This window comes from Homo sapiens, chromosome 14, assembly GCF_000001405.40.
Source record: "Homo sapiens chromosome 14, GRCh38.p14 Primary Assembly".
Lineage (NCBI taxonomy): Eukaryota > Metazoa > Chordata > Mammalia > Primates > Hominidae > Homo > Homo sapiens.
This window is the reverse complement of record NC_000014.9, coordinates 94,343,857-94,362,178: the sequence shown is the minus strand read 5'-3', so window position 1 is coordinate 94,362,178 and position 18,322 is coordinate 94,343,857. Positions and strand designations below refer to the sequence as shown.

General features: G+C 45.0%; 4 annotated features.

Moving 5' to 3' along the window:
• Positions 1–501: an enhancer, noted in NCBI's record as "H3K4me1 hESC enhancer chr14:94828015-94828515 (GRCh37/hg19 assembly coordinates)". NCBI's record gives its function as "activates a minimal SCP1, AML or CMV promoter by ChIP-STARR-seq in primed H9 embryonic stem cells {active_cell/tissue: H9 hESC(primed)}" and the evidence as "EXISTENCE:reporter gene assay evidence [ECO:0000049][PMID:30033119]".
• Positions 15,016–16,215: an enhancer, noted in NCBI's record as "BRD4-independent group 4 enhancer chr14:94812301-94813500 (GRCh37/hg19 assembly coordinates)". NCBI's record gives its function as "activates an origin of replication core promoter dependent on BRD2, P300/CBP, MED14 and CDK7 cofactors, and independent of BRD4, by STARR-seq in HCT116 cells {active_cell/tissue: HCT116}" and the evidence as "EXISTENCE:reporter gene assay evidence [ECO:0000049][PMID:35650434]".
• Positions 15,016–16,347: a biological region, named in NCBI's record as "BRD4-independent group 4 enhancer GRCh37_chr14:94812301-94813500".
• Positions 15,846–16,347: an enhancer, noted in NCBI's record as "H3K4me1 hESC enhancer chr14:94812169-94812670 (GRCh37/hg19 assembly coordinates)". NCBI's record gives its function as "activates a minimal SCP1, AML or CMV promoter by ChIP-STARR-seq in primed H9 embryonic stem cells {active_cell/tissue: H9 hESC(primed)}" and the evidence as "EXISTENCE:reporter gene assay evidence [ECO:0000049][PMID:30033119]".

Genomic DNA, 18,322 nt, shown 5'->3' with positions numbered 1-18,322 from the left:
GATGAGAGATTCTTGGGCCAGGGTTTTGGTAGACACAAGCCTGGTGACTTCAGGCAGCTGGCAATTACTGGGCATCTACCAAGGGTCAGCCACGGTTCCAGGCCCCTAGCGTGTATGAATTCCTTGGCTCCTCTCGTCACCTCTCTGAGGGTGTGTCAAGGAGAGAGGAACCTGGATCTTGGATGGCCATGGGGCTCCCTTCCACCCACATCCCCACATGACTGCACAGCACAGGCTGGTTCTGCTGGACTGAGCCCATCCAGGGAAGAACAGCGAGACCCTCAGGTGAGATCGGGCTCACTGGAGACAAACAGCATGGCAGGAGCTGGAGGTGCCCCAGGCTGATTTCCAGGATAGGGGGTTCCTGGACACAGGCACTGAGCATCCCCACAGCCCCCTAGACTGGCCCATGAGCACGAGAAGCCCTGAGAGTGCGTGGGGGTGGCCTGTGTGCAAGGCAGCACAGCGAGCCTCTCTGCACAACCCACAGGCTCTGCTGGGTGAGGAGTTCTCCCTCAGCCTCCTCTGGAGCTGACGCTGGGGGAGAGCGCCGTGAGCCTCCCTGCCTGAATTCTTATCTGCGCTTCACACAGGAGGAAACTGAGGCACGCAGAGTTTTAGCTCCTCTTGGCCAGAGCCAGGATCTGAACCCAGGCGTCTGAACCTTGGTGATCCTGCGGGGCAGAGTGAGTTGGGGGATGGAATTGCATCTCTCACAAAGTGCCCAGCACAGGGTGGGCCCCTACAGACGGTAAAAGCTGGGGGGCGGGGCTCGGTCAGGTGTGATTTTCCCCTTCTCCTGCCCTCCCCAGGGTGGGACTCCCTTGTGGTCTCCTGGTGTTCACTTGTGTCTCCACCTGTAGAGGCAGGAAAGACTCAGCCTTAGGGATGCCCCCCACCCTAAGGGTCAAAGAGGAGGAAAGAGTGTCCTTTTAGCTCTGGCCCCTCAGAGCTTGTTACCCAGATTCCAGAGGACACTGTGTCTTATCCCCACTGCTCTCTGGATACCACCCTTCCGTCCCAAGTGGACTCTACCTTTGATCTCTTGTTTAGAATCCTGGCCTGAAAAGGAGATATGTATTCATTAACTCCTCAGGTGACCTGGCGATCTTTTCCATCACCTTCTTCCTCTTTCTTATCTGGGTTCATGGCCCCATCCTTTACCTACTGGGGCCCTCACTGTTTCTCCAGCCTGTATCTCTAATTCTGCAGCTCATCTGATATAAAAGGTAGTTATTTCCTAGGAGGAAATTTAAGGGATAGAGAGAGCCAGCAATAACAAAAGAGAGATGTCTCTGGAGGTGGATCAGAACACTTAATTGAGTGTTAAGAGTTTTTTAGGAGAGATAAATAAAGAGGACATGGGTAACAAAAGGGTAAATTGGGGAGGCCACACAGTAGGGAGAAAGCTATGGGATCTGTATTCTTGTGGACCACAATGAGCTCGGGGGTTAAAGGATAAAGTCCAAGGTAAATAATAGTGTTGAGACCTCTGGGTATATCAAATATTAAAACATCAGAAACATCAATGTTCTGGAAGAAAGTAAGAAGTAATTTATTTTCTTAATTTTTTAAGTGGATATGTCCTTTCTAAAGAAGGTAGAAAACCCAAAAGTCACAAAGCAAGGACTGATATATTTACCTTTAAAAATGCAAACTGTATGCCAAAAATGCCATTCAATTCACTCAGAAAATATAACAATTATAAATATACATTCACCCAACATCAGCACTCTGAAGTATATGAAGAAACATTGACCCAGTAGAAGGAAGAAATAGACAGCAACACAATAATAGTAGGAGAATTTCCTGCTTTCAATTACCAATAGAACAACCAGACAGAAGATCATAAGAAAACATAAAACTTGAACAACACTACAGACCAACTGGACCTAATAAACATACAGAACACTCTACCCCAAAACAGCAGAAGACACATTTTTCTGAAGTGCACATGGAACATTCTGCAGGATACACCATATATTAGGCCACAAAACAAGTCTTTGCATGTTTTAGAAGATTTAAATCATACAAAGTATCTTTTTCTGATTAAAATGAAATGAAACTAGGAATTAATAACAGAAGTAAAACTGGAAAATCCACAAATACAAGGAAATTAAACAACATACTCTTAATCAATTGTTAACGATATCACAAGGAAAATTAGAAACTATCTTGAGACAAATGAAAATGAAAACACAACATACCAAAATTTCGTGTGCAAAAATGCAGTGCTAAGAGAGAAATTTGTAGCTGAAAATATTTATGTTAAAAAATAATGATCTCAAACCAGCACCTAACTACACCTTTAGGAACTAGAGAGAAAAGAGAACAGACTAAACCTAAAGCTAGCAGAAAGAAGGAAACTAAAGATTAGAGCAAAACCTACAAAACAGATAATACAAAAATAAGGGAGAACATCAACAATAGAAAAATAACAGAGAAAATCAACAAAATGAAGAGTTGGTTCTTTGAAAAGGGCAACAACATTGACAATTCTTTCGTTAGATTGACTAAGAGAAAAATGAAGACCAAAATAACTAAACTCAGAAATGAAAAAGTGGATGTTACGAGACTTTTTTGCAGGAATAAAAAGAATTATAGCCTGGGCATGGTGGCTCACACCTGTAATCCCAGCACTTTGGGAGGCTGAGGTGGGTGGATCACGAGGTCAGGAGTTCAAGACAAGCCTGGCCAAGATAGTGAAACCCCATCTCTACTAAAAATACAAAAATTAGCATACCTGTAATCCTAGCTACTTGGGAGGCTGAGGTAGGGAATTGCTTGAACCCGGGAGGCAGAGGTTGCAGTGAGCCGAGATCATGCCACTGCACCCCAGCCTGGGCGACAGAGAGAGACTCTCTCTCAAAAAAAAAAAAAAAAGATTATAAGAGAATACTAGGAACAACTGTTCACTGAAAATTGGATGATGTAGACAAAATTGGATGATGTAGATCCTTTAGTATCTACTGGCTAAATGAGGAAATGTCTGTGCTATTGCTAATACTATATGCTGTACCTGAGTAAACTCTTCTGGGAAGTTAAGACCCATATACAGAAAATGAAGAAAAACAGTTCACATGGTGACAACAAGTCTCACCTAATTTCCCATGGTCATTTCATTTATTCAATTAGTTGCCTTTAAGCCTATGTTCATAGCTCAAGACCATTATGCAAACTGGGGTTGCCATGTTACTATTTATTTTATTTTGTATTTTCCTTTTTGCACTTTATACCTGTTAGTTGTCAAATTTCTGCAGAAGTACAATCCTAATATAATAATGTCACTAAGGATGATTGCTTTAACCATTTCTATTTAGAACTGGAGTTTCGAACCAGGGCCCTTGGACAAGAAAAAGAATAAAATGGAATCCGCATCGGAAAGGAAGAAATAAATTTATCTCTGTTCACTGACAACATAATCTTATATGTAGAAAATGCTAAAGATTCACCACACAAACTGTTAAACTGCAAACAAATTCAGCAAAGTTGCAGGATACAAAATCAACACACAAAAATCAGCCGTGTTTCCACACAAGAAAGAAAATAAGTTTAATCAGCTCATGGTTCCACAGGCTGTACAAGAAGCATGATGCTGGCATCTACTCAGCTTCTGGGGAGGCCTCAGGAAACTTAAAATTATGGCAGAAGGAGAATCTTCCAAGGTATATATGTAACATATTTTCTTTATCCAATCCACCATTGACGGGCACATAGATTGAGTCCGTCTGTGCTATTGTGAATAGTGTTGCAATGAACATACATGTGCATGTGTCTTTTTGGTAGAACAATTTATTTTCCTTTGGGTATATACTCAGTAATGGTATTACTAGGTTGAATGGTAGTTATGTTTTAAGTTCTTTGAGAAATCTCCAAACTGTGAAAGCAGGATCTTGATGAAGTATTTGTACACCCAGGTTCACAGAAACACTATTCACAATGGGTAAAAAGTAGAACAACCCAAATTCATCAACAGGTGAATGAATAAACAAAATATAGTATATACATACAATGGAATAGCATTCAGCATCGAAAAGGAAGGAAATTCTGACATATGCTACAAGACAGATGAACCTTAAGGACATTATGCTATGTGAAATAAGTCAGTCAAAAAAAGGCAAATACTATATGATTCAACTTATATGAGGTACCTAGAATAGTCAAATTCATAAAGATAGAAAGTAGAATGGTGATTGCCAAGTACTGGGTGCAGGGGAGAATGAGTAATTGTTCAATGGGTATGGATTTTGAGTTTTGCAAGATGAAAATAGTTCTGGGGATTGATTGCACAACAAAGAATGTACTTAACACAATTAAACTATATACTTAAAAATAGTCAAAATGATAGATTTTATACTAAGTGTACTTTACTACAATTTAAAAAAATTAAATACAAATTATCTTTAAATAACAAACATAATAATAATTGTGCAGCCAATATTTTCATAATAAACCAGTCAAATCTCTAACATATTACTATTACTCAGAATCCTTATGGTTTTAATGGTATTTTTACATCAATTTTTAGAAAAATAGATACTCAACTGCATATTTTTAAAATACCATAAAAAAGCTAAAGGATAAACTAAAAAATTGTATAACAGATATGACTAAGATAAACATTTTAGTTTTAAAGAACTCTTTTAAATCCATAGGGAAACAGTAAGCAATCCAGAAGAAAAATGGACAAAGGATTTAAGTAGGTAGTCTACAAAAAAATACAAATTAACAATGGAAATATGCAAGAATTCTAAACCCCATTCTCAATTTTTTAAATGCAAATCAACTTAACAGAGTGGCATTTTCCAGCTATCTGATTAGCAAAAATGTACGAGGTTGGTAATATGCAGAGCTATGAGCATGTAAAGAAACAGACATTGTCATTTGTCATATGAGGGCATGTAAATTTGTGCTATTTCTGAAGACAAGCTGGTAGCATATATTAAAGTTAAAAGAACACAAAACCCTACTACTTGACTCAGAAAGTCTATTAATGGGAATTACCCCATGACAATATTAATAAACAAAACAAATGTAAAAAAATTCTTCTTTTTAATTGCAGGATTGTTTGCTGAGCAAAAAAAAAAATCTATCAATAGGAAATTGATGATATAAATTCAGATGTGCCTCTATACTAGAGGTGCAGTCTTTAAAAATCATGAGGCTAGCTCTGTAGAGGCTCACAGGGAGAGATCTCTAAAAGCAAAAACTATGGTAAGAAGCAAAACACAGAACAGTGTACACAGCCTGATTTCTTCCATGAACACACACATTCATTCAAGAATTATTTACTGAGCGTGTAGTATGTGCCAAGCACTGGCTGTGCAGGTGTGAACAAACAGACAAAATACCTGCCCATAGGAGCTCAGCGAGGGATGCAGAAAATAAACCAGGTAAGTAAATATTGTGCATAGAATAGAGGAAGTTGATGAGTCTTACAGTGAAAAAATAATGCAGGGAGAGGAATGGGGGTGCTGGGGTGTGGGGCACACTCAGATAGAATGGCCAAGGAAGACCTCAATGAGAAGGTGGCATTGGAGACCCAAGGCGGGTGAGAAAGCAAGCCATATGAGTATCTAGGGAAAAGATCAGCCAGGCTAAGGAAACAGGAAGTGCAAAGGCCCTGGGGTAGGAATGTGTCTGGTATGATCAAGGGAAGCAGGGAGACCATGTGATTTGAGCAGTGGAAAGTATGAGAGAGAGAGAGAAGCTAAAGAAGAGGCCGGGGAAATGACAGCAGTGCCTGCTGTGGACGGGGGCTCTTCAGTTGTGCACCTATAAAGACTTTGACTTTTTCTCTAAGTAATCTTAGGAGTACCTAGACCCTAAAGAGGATATCCAGTAGAGGCACAAAATTATTTTTTTGGACAGAATCTCATAAAGACACATATTATTTATTTTTAATAATAAGTGGAGTCTTTCTGGGTAGTGGAATCATGGACCATTTTATTTTCTTCTTTACAGTTTTCTGTTTTTTAAAAGTACCAAATATTAATTTAAGAATCAAATATTAGTCATGGCAAAAATCACAATTACTTTTGCACCAACTTAATAGAAGTGGGTACTGGGAGACAGGGGAGGGTGGGTGGGCGAGTGGGAGCTCAGGGAGGTTCCGTCCTGGACAGAGAAGGCAGGGAGCTGTCCTAAAGGAAGACGGTCCCCCGAGACATTTCTCTCTGGGGTTAGTTTGCGTTAGGGGAGTAAAGTTTTCTTGGTCAAATGGGTTTGAAGAACTGGATAAATCTTTACTGCAGGACTTCCCAGATCCTTTAAAATATTACAATTTAGGATATGAAAATATTTCTGCACGTGGGAGAAAGAGGATGCGGTTTCCCAAACTTATTAGACCATGGAGCCTATTTATTCACAAATCATCTCTACTGTTCCATGGGACACGCTGCAAAATGCTGCTGGGGTGAAGAGGCTCTTAAATGGGGTAGTGGCAAGGGCAGATTTGCATTTCGGTGGCTCACTCTGGCGGCGGCGAAGGGAATCTGTTGGGAGACAAGATCAGTTGTAAGGAGATCCCGGAGCTTACTTTCCTGTCATGCACATCTGTTGCCCTCTCTGCAACAACATGCCCTTGCGCCCAGAGACAGTGACGTGGTGCCTTCAGACGCCCCCAGGACTCGGTGGCATCCACTAAAAGGATGCTGATGCGGCCCCCTGGAGTTCGACATTCTTGGTTCAGAGAGAAAACATATGCTGCTGTTCAGAGTCCCAGCCCACCTCTCTCCTTCCTGAGCATTATAACTGGGGTGCAGGAGGTGGGGTGAATGTACAGGACTGTCCACTGCGGGGGAGGTGGCCGGGCCTATGATTGCACAAGCCCACATCGCCTTGGGCCTGTTAATATTAACTCAATCTCCAGCCTGGGGAAGCACCAGCAACTCCAAGAGTCACTGACCTGATAAACATGATTTTGCTCATTTTGTTGGCTGGATCTTCAAGGCTTCTCCCTTGGCCTTGGATGGTGATCCCACTGAGAGTCACATACATATACACCTTTAACCTCTATCATTACATGCTGGGAAAGTTCCTCCCAGAATCTGGTGGGGGACTGAATGGGAGCAGAAATCTAACAAGAGCAACATGAATTGTCAGCGCAAGGGTTTCAGAATAACTGTCATCTGAATCATTTCAGTAATTGTGCCATCAAAGCTGCTTCTAAGAAGAGTATATATCTTCCTAGTGGGCATTCCCTGTGCTTGGTGTCTGGACACTTTTTTGATTGCTAGTCATTGTTCACATAAACTAGGCTTATGAAGAAGTAGATTCAGTCCATCAATTATTCATTCATTCAACCATCTCATGCTGCATGAATCATTCATTCACTTATTTATCCTATACTCTGTGCCACCACATGCCAGTCCTGGGCTGGCTACACATCATGCTATGTGTGACTTCCATGTAAGTTCAGTGAACACTTTTTGTTTTTGTTTTGAGATGAAGTTGTTTCTTTGTTTTTTTGTTTTTTTGAGACAGAGTCTCACTCTGTTGCCCAGGCTGGAGTGTAATGGTGCGATCTCAGCTCACCGCAACCTCTGCCTCCCAGGTTCAAGTGATTCTCCCTGCCTTAGCCTCCCAAGTAGCTGGGATTACAGGTGCCCGCCCCCACACCCAGGTAATTTTTTGTATTTTTAGTAGAGACAGGGTTTCGCCATGTTGGCCAGGCTGGTCTTGAACTCCTGACCTCAGGCGATCCACCCACCTCGGCGTCCCAAAGTGCTGGGATTACAGGCGTGAGTCACCGCACCCAGCCTCAGTGAACAGCGTTGAATCATAAACTTCTTTGTAAAAAGAAGCAAGGGCTTTGTAGATACTCTGTTGCTCTGCTTCTTCAGAGGATTGTCTTTTGGGTCAATGTGGCCAGTAGTACAGATTGTGCACTGCACATGGGTGCCTAGCAGAGGGAGCATGAGGCCTGAATCCCAACCCAGGTGCTACTTGCCAAGTGATGTATCTGCTGTATGGTGGCATCCATCTGGTTGAAGAGGTTTTTTTTTTTCTTTGCACAAAGATGTCATTACCCCAGAGAATATGTGATAAAACATGCATAGTAAAATGTCAGTGGTAGAATCTAGTAATAGGTTTAAGGTGTCCACTGTAAAAATCTTTCAACTTTGCTATATTTGAAAATTTTCATAATAAAACGTTGAATGGCATACTATTACTTGTCAAGTTATGCATGGGCAGAGAGATGCTGTAATGGGTTGAATCATATTTCCCCAAAAATTCTTATGTTGAAGTTCTAATCCCCAATATCTCAGATTGTGAGCATATTTTGGAGATTGGGACTTTACAGAGGTAATCAAGTTAAACGAGATTATTAGGGCCCTAACCCATCTAGTGTCCTTATAAGGAGGAACCTGAATGTAAAGACATGCACATAGAGGGAACACAATGTGAAGATACAGACAGAACATTGTATGAACATGAAGATGGCCATCTGTAAGCCCAGGAAAGAGGCCTGGAACAGATCATTCCCTCACAGCTCTCAGAAGGAACCAAGCTTGCCAACAGTTTGATTTTGGACTTCTAGCTTCTAGAACTGTGAGACAATATATTTCAGTTGTTTCAGCCATCCAGTTTGTGGTACTCAGTTATGGAAGTCCTAGCAAACTAATATAGATTTTTTTTTTTCTAATCTGTACAAAGGGAGGTGTCCTGAGGTGTAGCAGTGGCCTGATCACCTTCTTGAACTCTCAGGATGAGTACAAATGTCAGGAGGACTTTAGGCAGCATTTTAGTAGAGGAAGTTCTTGTAGGGTGTGATGAGCTGGGAACTGATTATGTGCTACTGTTTGCATTAGGAAGAAGTGATTGACACTGAAGAGAAGTCATCGCCCACTGAAATCTAAAAGCCAGCTAATGTCAAATGATGGGGCTCTAAGCATAGAACTTTTACCACAGTTGAATTTTGACACCCAATGCTGTTCCACAAATAAAGACACCAGACAAGGTTGTTTGGAAACCTACAAGAGCCCAAGCAATTTGACATGACAAAAGTATAGTAGGAGCTTGGGTTCCATTCCTGGCACTGACTACTCACAAATTCCATCATCTCCAGTAAGTCCGTTGAATGTCACTTTCTCATTCACAAAGACGTGGATAATCACAGCTTCTTTGTAGGGTTGTTGTGAGGATTAAATAAGGTGTTTCATGTAAAGTTCCAAGCACATAGTAGGTGCTCAAGAAATGGGGGCAAAAATCCAGAGACAGGATCAAGGGAACTAGAAAACAGGCTAAAAATCTTATTTGTTCAATAAAGAAGTGCCTGCAGGTGAAGATCATCAGGACTGTGGCGGTCACAATCAATACTCACTTGATATCAGGTGTTTATCCCCATTAGACCCTCTGAGAATTGGCTGATTTTTTTGCCAGTCCCAAGAGCATGCATGGTGGAGTAGAAACACACTTGCTCAGAAGGCAAGAGGCGGATTCTAATGCTCACTTAGCCCCCAGCTCTGTAACTCTTGGCACATCCCTATCATTTCTTTCAGCCTCTGCTTCCTCATCTATAAATTAAGGGCCCTTGACTAGACTCACAATGCCAAGTACATGGCCTGTGTGCCGCCCTGATATGGTTTGGCTGTGTCCTCACTCAAATCCCATTTTGAATTGTAGCTCCCATAATCCCTACATGTCATGGGAGGGACCCAGTGGGAGGTAATTGAATCATGAGGGCAAGTATTTCCTATGCCATTCTCATGATTGTGAATAAGTCTCATGAGATCTGATGGTTTTATAAAGGGCAGTTCCCCTGCACATGCTCTCTTGCCTGCCACCATGTAAGACATGCCTTTGCTCCTCCTTCACCTTTCTCCATGATTGTGAGGCCTCCCCAGCCATGTGGAACTACGAGTCCATTAAACCTCTTTCTTTATAAATTACCCAGTCTCGGGTATGCCTTTATTTGCAGCATGAAAAAAAAAACTAATACACTACCCTTTCTGCTCTCACACCCATGACAACATCGCTAACAACCATGGCCCTTATTTCCATCTTTGTTCAGACACAGCTTCAGAATCCTTCTCAAGATAATACTCCAGGAACCACAACAAGAAACCCAAGATGGCAGCTTAGATGGAAAAAATTTACTACTGCCCTGTCCTAGGTGATATTTAAAATGTCTTCTGGCTCCTAGGTTTTCTGAGTCTGATCCCTTTCTTGACCAGAAATGCCTTTATTTTGCGTCTTCCAAGACTTTTATGTAGTATTTAGGACCTTTCATTGTCTGGGGTCCTACATCATGAATTGTTCTACTGTTCCATACCTTCTTCTCCCAGACCAGATGAGACCAGATATCCAACATCCTCCCCAGGACCAGAGTCCTAGATTTTATCAACTTCATTAATTTAGGTAACCTGGCTCCTAGTAACCTACACCTCTCTCTCTCCTCCCCTACCCCACTTCCCCCACCTTCACTTTTCGAAACTCCTAGGTATTCCAGAGCATGATTAATTCATACTAAAATATCTATTTTACCACTTCCTCTCTCCATACCCGAGATAGTCATGATTACATAGTTAACAGATTAAGGCATAATCTCACAAAGAGATGGCGTCTCAAACACTTCTTAACCCAGTCTCCGATGCACGCCCTACCAAATGCTTGAAATTGATGTATCAGATAAAAACAATGGCCATTTCATCCCAAGAAAGTGTGTCAAAAAAATCTCTAGATCAAATTATTAAACCAAGAAAAAAACAGGTGTTTGTTCATGGGTGTGGGGTGTGTGTGTATGTGTGTGTGTGTGTTATAGATAACAGCTTCAAACCAGTGCTATATGAATTTCTTTCTTTTCAATACTCAAGAGCCTAACCAAGCCTTCAAGCCACCCTCTGGTTCTCTTCTTACCTTAGCAGCAACCTAAGAATATGCTTATTCCCAAGAAGTCATCTTAGGATAGAAAGAATGCAGAACTGGGTGTCATGTAGCTCAACATGCCAAGCCTGCCTCAGCCTCTATAAGCTGTTTGCTTTTGAACAACCGCCTCAGCCTTTCTTGGGATCATCTGAAAAATAGGACTAATGCCTCCTCATAGGGTCATTTTAGCACATAGCAGATATTCTCCCACTTAAAAGACATTTAACAAATAAAAAGAATGGCTGCTATCCTTGCAGGCATTATTATCATTATTAGTACTATTTCTATATTCATCTTTCAGTCTTTGAGCCACATTCTTGGGTTTTTGCATACAGAAATAAGATACTGTTCATGCCCGGAGAAGTACAAAAAGGAGCAAAGGCAGATGAACAAACTGGAGGAACACAGCATGACCACAAGAGGCTCTGAGTCCATTTGGGGCACTGCTCAGAGGTTGTTTAGCCAGTGTTTTCTCTCCCCTATTTTCTGGCTGCTGAAATCCTGCCCATCCTTCAGGACCCAGCTCAAGGCCACATGCTTACAGGAACCACCACTGAGTCCTCAGACTTCAACCCTGCCTGGTGGAGGAGACTTGATCTTGTTCAGTTCTAGTTGAGTTCTGTTAGTTCAGCATAAACTTTGTCAGCTCAGAGTTCTTTCAGTCAATTCAGTGTTTCCCAAGTTCAGAGTTTTTTCTACACCTACACCTCCCATCCCAGAGACAGTGGGATTTGAACGTGGAGACAATATGCATCCAGGGTGTGATGGTTAATACTGAGTGTAACTTGATTGGATTGAAGGATGAAAGTTTTGTTCCTGGATGTGTCTGTGAGGATGTTGACAAAGGAGATTAACGTCTGAGTCAGTGGACTGGGAGAGGCAGACCCATCCTCAATCCATCCTCAATCTGATGGACACCATCTAATCAGCTGACAGCACGGCTAGAATAAAGCAGGAAGAAGAGCATAGAAGGACTTTACTTGCTAAGTCTTCTGGCCTTCAGCTTTCTCCCATGCTGGATGCTTCCTGCCCTTGAACATCAGACACCAAGTTCTTCAGCTTTTAAACTCTTGGACTTAAGCCAGTGGTTTGCCAGGGGCTCCTGGCCACAGACTGAAGGCTGCACTGTCAGCTTCCCTACTTTTGAAGTTTTGGGACTTGGATTGGCTTCCCTGCTCCTCAGCTTGCAGACAGCTTACTGTGGGATTGTGATCATGTGAGCCAATTCTCCTTAATAAACCCCCTTTCATATATATGTCTATCCTACTAGTTCTATCCTTCTGAAGAACCCTGACTAATACACAGGGCATCAAGTGAGACATGCCTCTTGAGGGCAGTGATAAGGTTTACTCTTCCCTAAATCCCTCTTAATGCCTACCCATGGTTAGACATACAGCAAGTGCTTCTGAAGTGGATGGGTGCATGGATGGATGCAAAGGGGAAAGGAAGGAAGGAAAAAGGGAGGAAGGGAGGGAGGGGGGGAATAAGGAAATCGCTTCCCCTGCAGAAGGTGACCTTCATCCTTCCCTTCTCAGCTTCTCTGTCAATGAGATGTGACCACCTTCCAAGCTAGGCCAGCCCGGCAGGTTCTGTTCCTCCAGGTTCCCCAGGCACCATGAGCACCGCACACTGTAGCATCCAAAAGACATAAGTGCAGTGAGCTGAGGGCTGGAACATTTGCCCAAGAAAGGTACAAGCTGACCTTTTCATGTAACTCTATGTCCACCACCAGAATCGGCAAATGACGTGTGCTACCCTCAACTCCTCAGCCCAGGGTGAGACTTGAGGGCGCTGTGGATGCACCAGACTCCTAGTACATAACCTGTAAGTAAAAATTACCTGTCCCCTTGCTTCACGGGGCGTCCCCATGGCTCCCAGTTTGCACCTGAGGAAACAGCTCTTTGCATGGCTGTCAGCAATAAGAGGAGAGAAGAGCTCAGAGGCTCAGCCCTCAGGCAGGGCTCACATGCAGAGGGAACTTGTTGCGGGTCACCTTATTCTGAAATAGGCAGCCAGTGAAGGATCAAATAACGAACCCACCTTTAGAGTCAGCAGAACTGGCCTGGAATCCTGGCTTAGCCATTGGCAAGCTGTTGACCTCAAGTAAGCCACTTTACCTCCCTGGGACTCAGTATTTTGCAGGGGTTGGCCATAAGTATTAAATAAAGTGATACTCAGAGTCCCTTCAAGGGTTCAAAGGAGGAGGCTTTAATGAAGAGACTATGTGGAGTGGTGTGGAAAGAGTTAAGGGAAAAAAATGCAAAGGTGAGGCTCCCAGAGGTTAGCAAAAGCAGGGAGCTGTTACCTGCTCAAAGCTGAAGGAGCCAGGGGAGGAAAGGGTGGGAGCTGGAGCCATGGAGAAGAGGGGTGCTTGGAGGGGGTGATCTGCAGTGACCAGGGGATTCAGCTACTCCCAAAGATGTGGAGCAGAAGCAGGGAGGGAATGGGAAGGAACACCCTAGCCTCTCTCTTCTCCTGCCCAGGGCTCCCACTACCAAACCCAAGAGGAAGCCAGCTGGCAGGAAAGCCCAGCAGCTCAGTCCAAAGGGGTCAGCCTCTCAGGGCACAAAACAGGGCAGAGAAAGGATCTGGTGGGGCGCAGGGGTGGGCAGGAACTGGCAAACAGAGAACAGCCTGCAGAAAAGGCGTCGCCGCTAGTATCAGTAATAGCCAGCTTTTGCTGAGCACCTACTGTGTACCACGAGCACACACACTATTTCTCTTTCTCAACTCCTTAAAGAGCTAAGCCCTGAGCACAGAGGCACTCACTACACTATAACTTGTATTATTGGCTGAATGAAATTCCCCACTAAGCCAGAAGGTGAATCCAGATTTTGGACATTTTTAAGAAATAGGGGATTTGTGACACCCCCACCCCCATTCCCACCTTCAGGTTTTCCTTGATGACTTGCTTTGAATGAAGGTTTTTGCCAAATCCTGGTGCACTGTGCACAGGGGTTTCAGAGATGGGAAGAATGATGACCACAGCAGAGGACAGTGGAAGGATGGCCTGCCAGCCCTAACGGATAGCAGGGAGCCTTAAGCCTCAGGGTTAGACCAGGAATACCTTGAAGAACCCAGGGGTCCTCTCTCCATCTCTCATGGAGCATCTGCCTAACCCTTCTCCAGCCCCCTCTCTCTAGATAAGTTTCTCCCACCCAAATAATGGCAAATAGCGGCCGGATGCGGTGGCTCACACCTGTAATCCTAGCACTTTGAGAGGCCGAGGCAGGCAGATCACTTGAGGTCAGGAGTTCAAAACCAGCCTGGCCAGCATGGTGAAACCCCGCCTCTACTAAAAATACAAAAAAAAAAAAAAATTAGCCGGGCGTGGTGGCGTGTGCCTATAATCCCAGCTACTCAGGAGGCTGAGGCAGGAGAATCGCCTCAACCCAGGAGGCAGAGGTTGCAGCAAGCCGAGGTCATGCCACTGCACTCCAGCCTGGACGACAGAGCAAGACTTCATCTCAAATAAATAAATAAATAAAGGTAAATAGCACTGCTCCCCTGCTTGACCCAAAGCTCACTGAGACCAGGCCCTTCTCGATGAGCAAGAGTCTCATGATCCTGGTGCCCACAATGCAGCGGCTGGGTAGGTTCCTGCCCCTGTGTTTCTATCACCTGCACGGTTACGCCCTCCAGCTGCCCTCCAGCTGCAATGGCACTGCAGTACTCATTCCTTCTGACATGGGGAAAGTCAGAAAGATAGAAGGGGCACTGATGAAGGAGAATTTTGATACATGGACTCAGCCCTTCCCAGTAAGGTAAAACCTCAGCTACCCCTGCCCCCTGCATGCTGTGGAACCCTTTCGACATCCACCTCTGCAGTCTCTGCAGCTGGAGGATGAAATCCCTCTGGTCTTCTGGACCATGACATGAGGGGGTGGGACTAGGTCACGCACTAATTATCAAACAGGATTCAGCCATTGACTCCTCCAAGAGATGGAAACAATTGTGCTGGCACAATAAAATCATTCTCATCATCATCACCACGACCACCATGTTGTCACATTGCATCTTCCTCTGAGAGATTTGCAATTCACCTTAGCACTTCAAAGCACTGAGAAGTTGTACAGAATGGAACAATGTCTGACTTAGCTTTACTCAGCATTTCCCAAACAGCATGTGAACATGGCAGGCATTTTAACAAAAGACCTTTCAACAAGCTACGGTTCCATGGACTGTAGTTCGGTAGTGGCCAAGGAGCTGTCTTTCCAGCTCATATACTGATGCAGTCAACATGATTGGTGATTAACTCAGAGGGAGCCGGGACCGGGCTTCTTTATTGGTCACTTGTCAAGGAGGCTTTACACAAAAGCCACTTTCCAGCCATCTGCACATCTCTCCTCTTGGCCACACTCTGTGATCAAGTTCCTTGCTTTTCTCAAGTATTTGAGGTCTTTGCTACTCAATGTGCAGTCTGTGACCAACATCACTGGCTTCATCGGGAGTTGTAAGAATCAGAGGCTCTCAGACCCCACCGCACACCTACTGAACCAGAATCTTCATTTTCATAAGATCCCAGGAGATTCATGAGCATATTAAGGACTGGGGAGCTCTGACCTAAATCACATTGCTTCCTGATAGATCCTCCAGATGCCCTGTCATTACGAATCACCAAGTGGTGACCCACGTGCTGTGCCCTGAGTGCCTTCTCTCCACCCATCCTTCTGTCCCTAGGCCCAGCCCTTTCTTCCAGCTCAGGGTTTCTCAGCCTCATCACATCACGGGCTGGAAAGTCCTGTGTGGTTCAGGGGCTTTCCCGTGCACTGTAGGCACATCACGGGCTGGAAAGTCCTGTGTGGTTCAGGGGCTTTCCCGTGCACTGCAGGCACATCACGGGCTGGAAATTCCTGTGTGGTGCAGGGCCTTTCCCGTGCACTGCAGGCACATCACGGGCTGGACAGTCCTGTGTGGTGCAGGGGCTTTCCCGTGCACTGCAGGCACATCACGGGCTGGACAGTCCTGTGTGGTGCAGGGGCTTTCCCGTGCACTGCAGGCACATCACGGGCTGGACAGTCCTGTGTGGTGCAGGGGCTTTCCCGTGCACTGCAGGCACATCACGGGCTGGAAAGTCCTGTGTGGTTCAGGGGCTTTCCGGTGCACTGCAGGCACATCACGGGCTGGAAAGTCCTGTGTGGTGCAGGGGCTTTCCCGTGCACTGCAGGCACATCACGGGCTGGACGGTCCTGCGTGGTGCAGGGGCTTTCCCGTGCACTGCAGGCACATCACGGGCTGGACGGTCCTGCGTGGTGCAGGGGCTTTCCCGTGCACTGCAGGCACATCACGGGCTGGACGGTCCTGCGTGGTGCAGGGGCTTTCCCGTGCATTGTAGGATGTTTAGCGGCACCCCTGGATGTTCTCCCTATTGGATGCCAGCAGCACACACACCCCCACAGTAGTGATGACCAAAAATGTCCCCAGTCATCGCCAGATGTTCCCTGGGGGGCAGAGTCACTCCTATTCTAGACTGTGTGTGGACTGTGGGATTCTAGAAGGTGGGGACTGTGCACTTTGCTCAGTCCTGAGTTTTCATTCCCCACTGAAGGCCTGACGGACATGCAATGGGCTGCCTTGATCTGAGGGTTGAGCTCATCCTGATGGGACTTTCTCACACTCCTCAAGCACCCTTCCCATGGAGAGGGCTGACAGTCTCCAGCTTTCCCCTCCACACCCCACTTTGCTTGGTTTATCCACGCTGGAGCTGCTAGGAGGCTCCAGCATCCTGCCACCAGGAAGCTACTAGGTGAGTCATGGTGGGAAGAGGGAAGAAGGCACGCTTTCTTATGGCCAAGGCAGTTGGGAAACTAAAGCTGGGAAGATAAATTCTCAATGGTGAGTCATCCCCCAGGCTGTGGACACAAGTCACAATCAGGCTGCCATACAGAAATTGTGCCCACAGATGGTTTGTCTTTGTTTTCTAATTTGTGCTTTTCATTTTTATCTGTTTCCAGCTTTCTCGAAGTAGAATTCACAAATAAAAGCTGTGTATGTTTAAGGTGTCCAACGTGCTGTTTCAATGCGTGTATACATTGAACATGATTCCCACAATCAAACTAATTCACAGATCCATCACCTCACACGAGTACCATTTTTGTTTGTATGGTGAGAATACTTAAGATCTAGCCTCTTAATACATTTCAAGCACACAGCGCTGTATACATACTTCTAGGCACGTGGTGCACAGTAGAAATCCGGAATGTGTTCATCTGAACTTTTTCCCCTTGATCAACTTCTGCCATCTTCCCTCTCCCCAGCCCCTGGCCACCCCTTCCTGCTCCTGCTTCTAACAGTTGGACTTTTTAGATTCCACTTCTAAGAGAGCATGCACCCATCATGTGCCATTGATGTAAGACTTAAAAAGGTAAACACAAGAAAAGGGAGCTCTCAATCCTCCCCTGGGACCTTTGAGGCCCTCGAGGCTGGGCTTAGAGAGGGAAGAAAACAGGGCGAGGCTATGTGTTGGAACAAAGGTAAGCAGACAGACAGAGAGATGCTCCTATTCCACTGCACTCAGGAGCAGGCCACATCCAGTTGGAGAAGCAGCAATGCAGCTGGAGAAGAGGCTTCAGCATTGGGTTCACTCTGAGCTTTTTACAAACCATGTTCCTAACTGCTGGGCAAATCTCTCAACTTCTTCAACCCTCCATTTTCTCATTTGTAAAGTGGGTATTTGGGGCACTCAGTCCCTGGGATTACAGTGAGGATGAATCAAAATTTCCTTGTAAAGAACCTGGCACAGACCCGTGTATTGCAGGCACATTCGGGAAACACAGCTGACGTTAATTTTATTCTGTTATTCTGCAGTGAGATTGCTAACTGGGGCAGTTTAGTAGATGACATTATTTCAGCTCTGTTTTCTCCTCTCACTCCCCTGAACAGAAGGAGGAGGCCATATTTTCCAAAATTCTCCCTACCTGGCAATATTCAATTGGACCAGCTCTTGCCCAAAATGGGCATCTCAGCTATATTCAGTTACCATGCAGGCCTTGAGAATTTCTCTGCAAACCACACCCATGAAGGCCTTCAAGGTAAAAGTTAAAACCCACCAGTGTCCGGTCATTTCTAAAAGTGCATACATTTTCTCACACATTCACCGTGCACCAGTGGAGTTACTGTGAAGCCGCTCCACTGCTGGGGGAAGCCAAAGGTGGAAATGTCAAATTACAACACCCACTGGTGTCCTGAGGACAGCTGATCTGAGGAGCGAGCTGGGCCTGTGACATGGGGGAAGGGTTTCCCAAGCTGGGTGCTAAGGCAAGCACCCCCACTCCTGGTGGGGAGGGAAGGAGCAGATGAAGAAACTGAGACTCCACCAGGGAACAGGATGCACTAGGTCATGCCTCTAGTCAGGACAGAACCAGGACTCGAATCTGGACCTCCTGGGCTAAGCTCAGACTGAGGTTCAGTGTGGCACCTCCTGGAGGAAGGGACAACTTCTGCTGGGATCAAC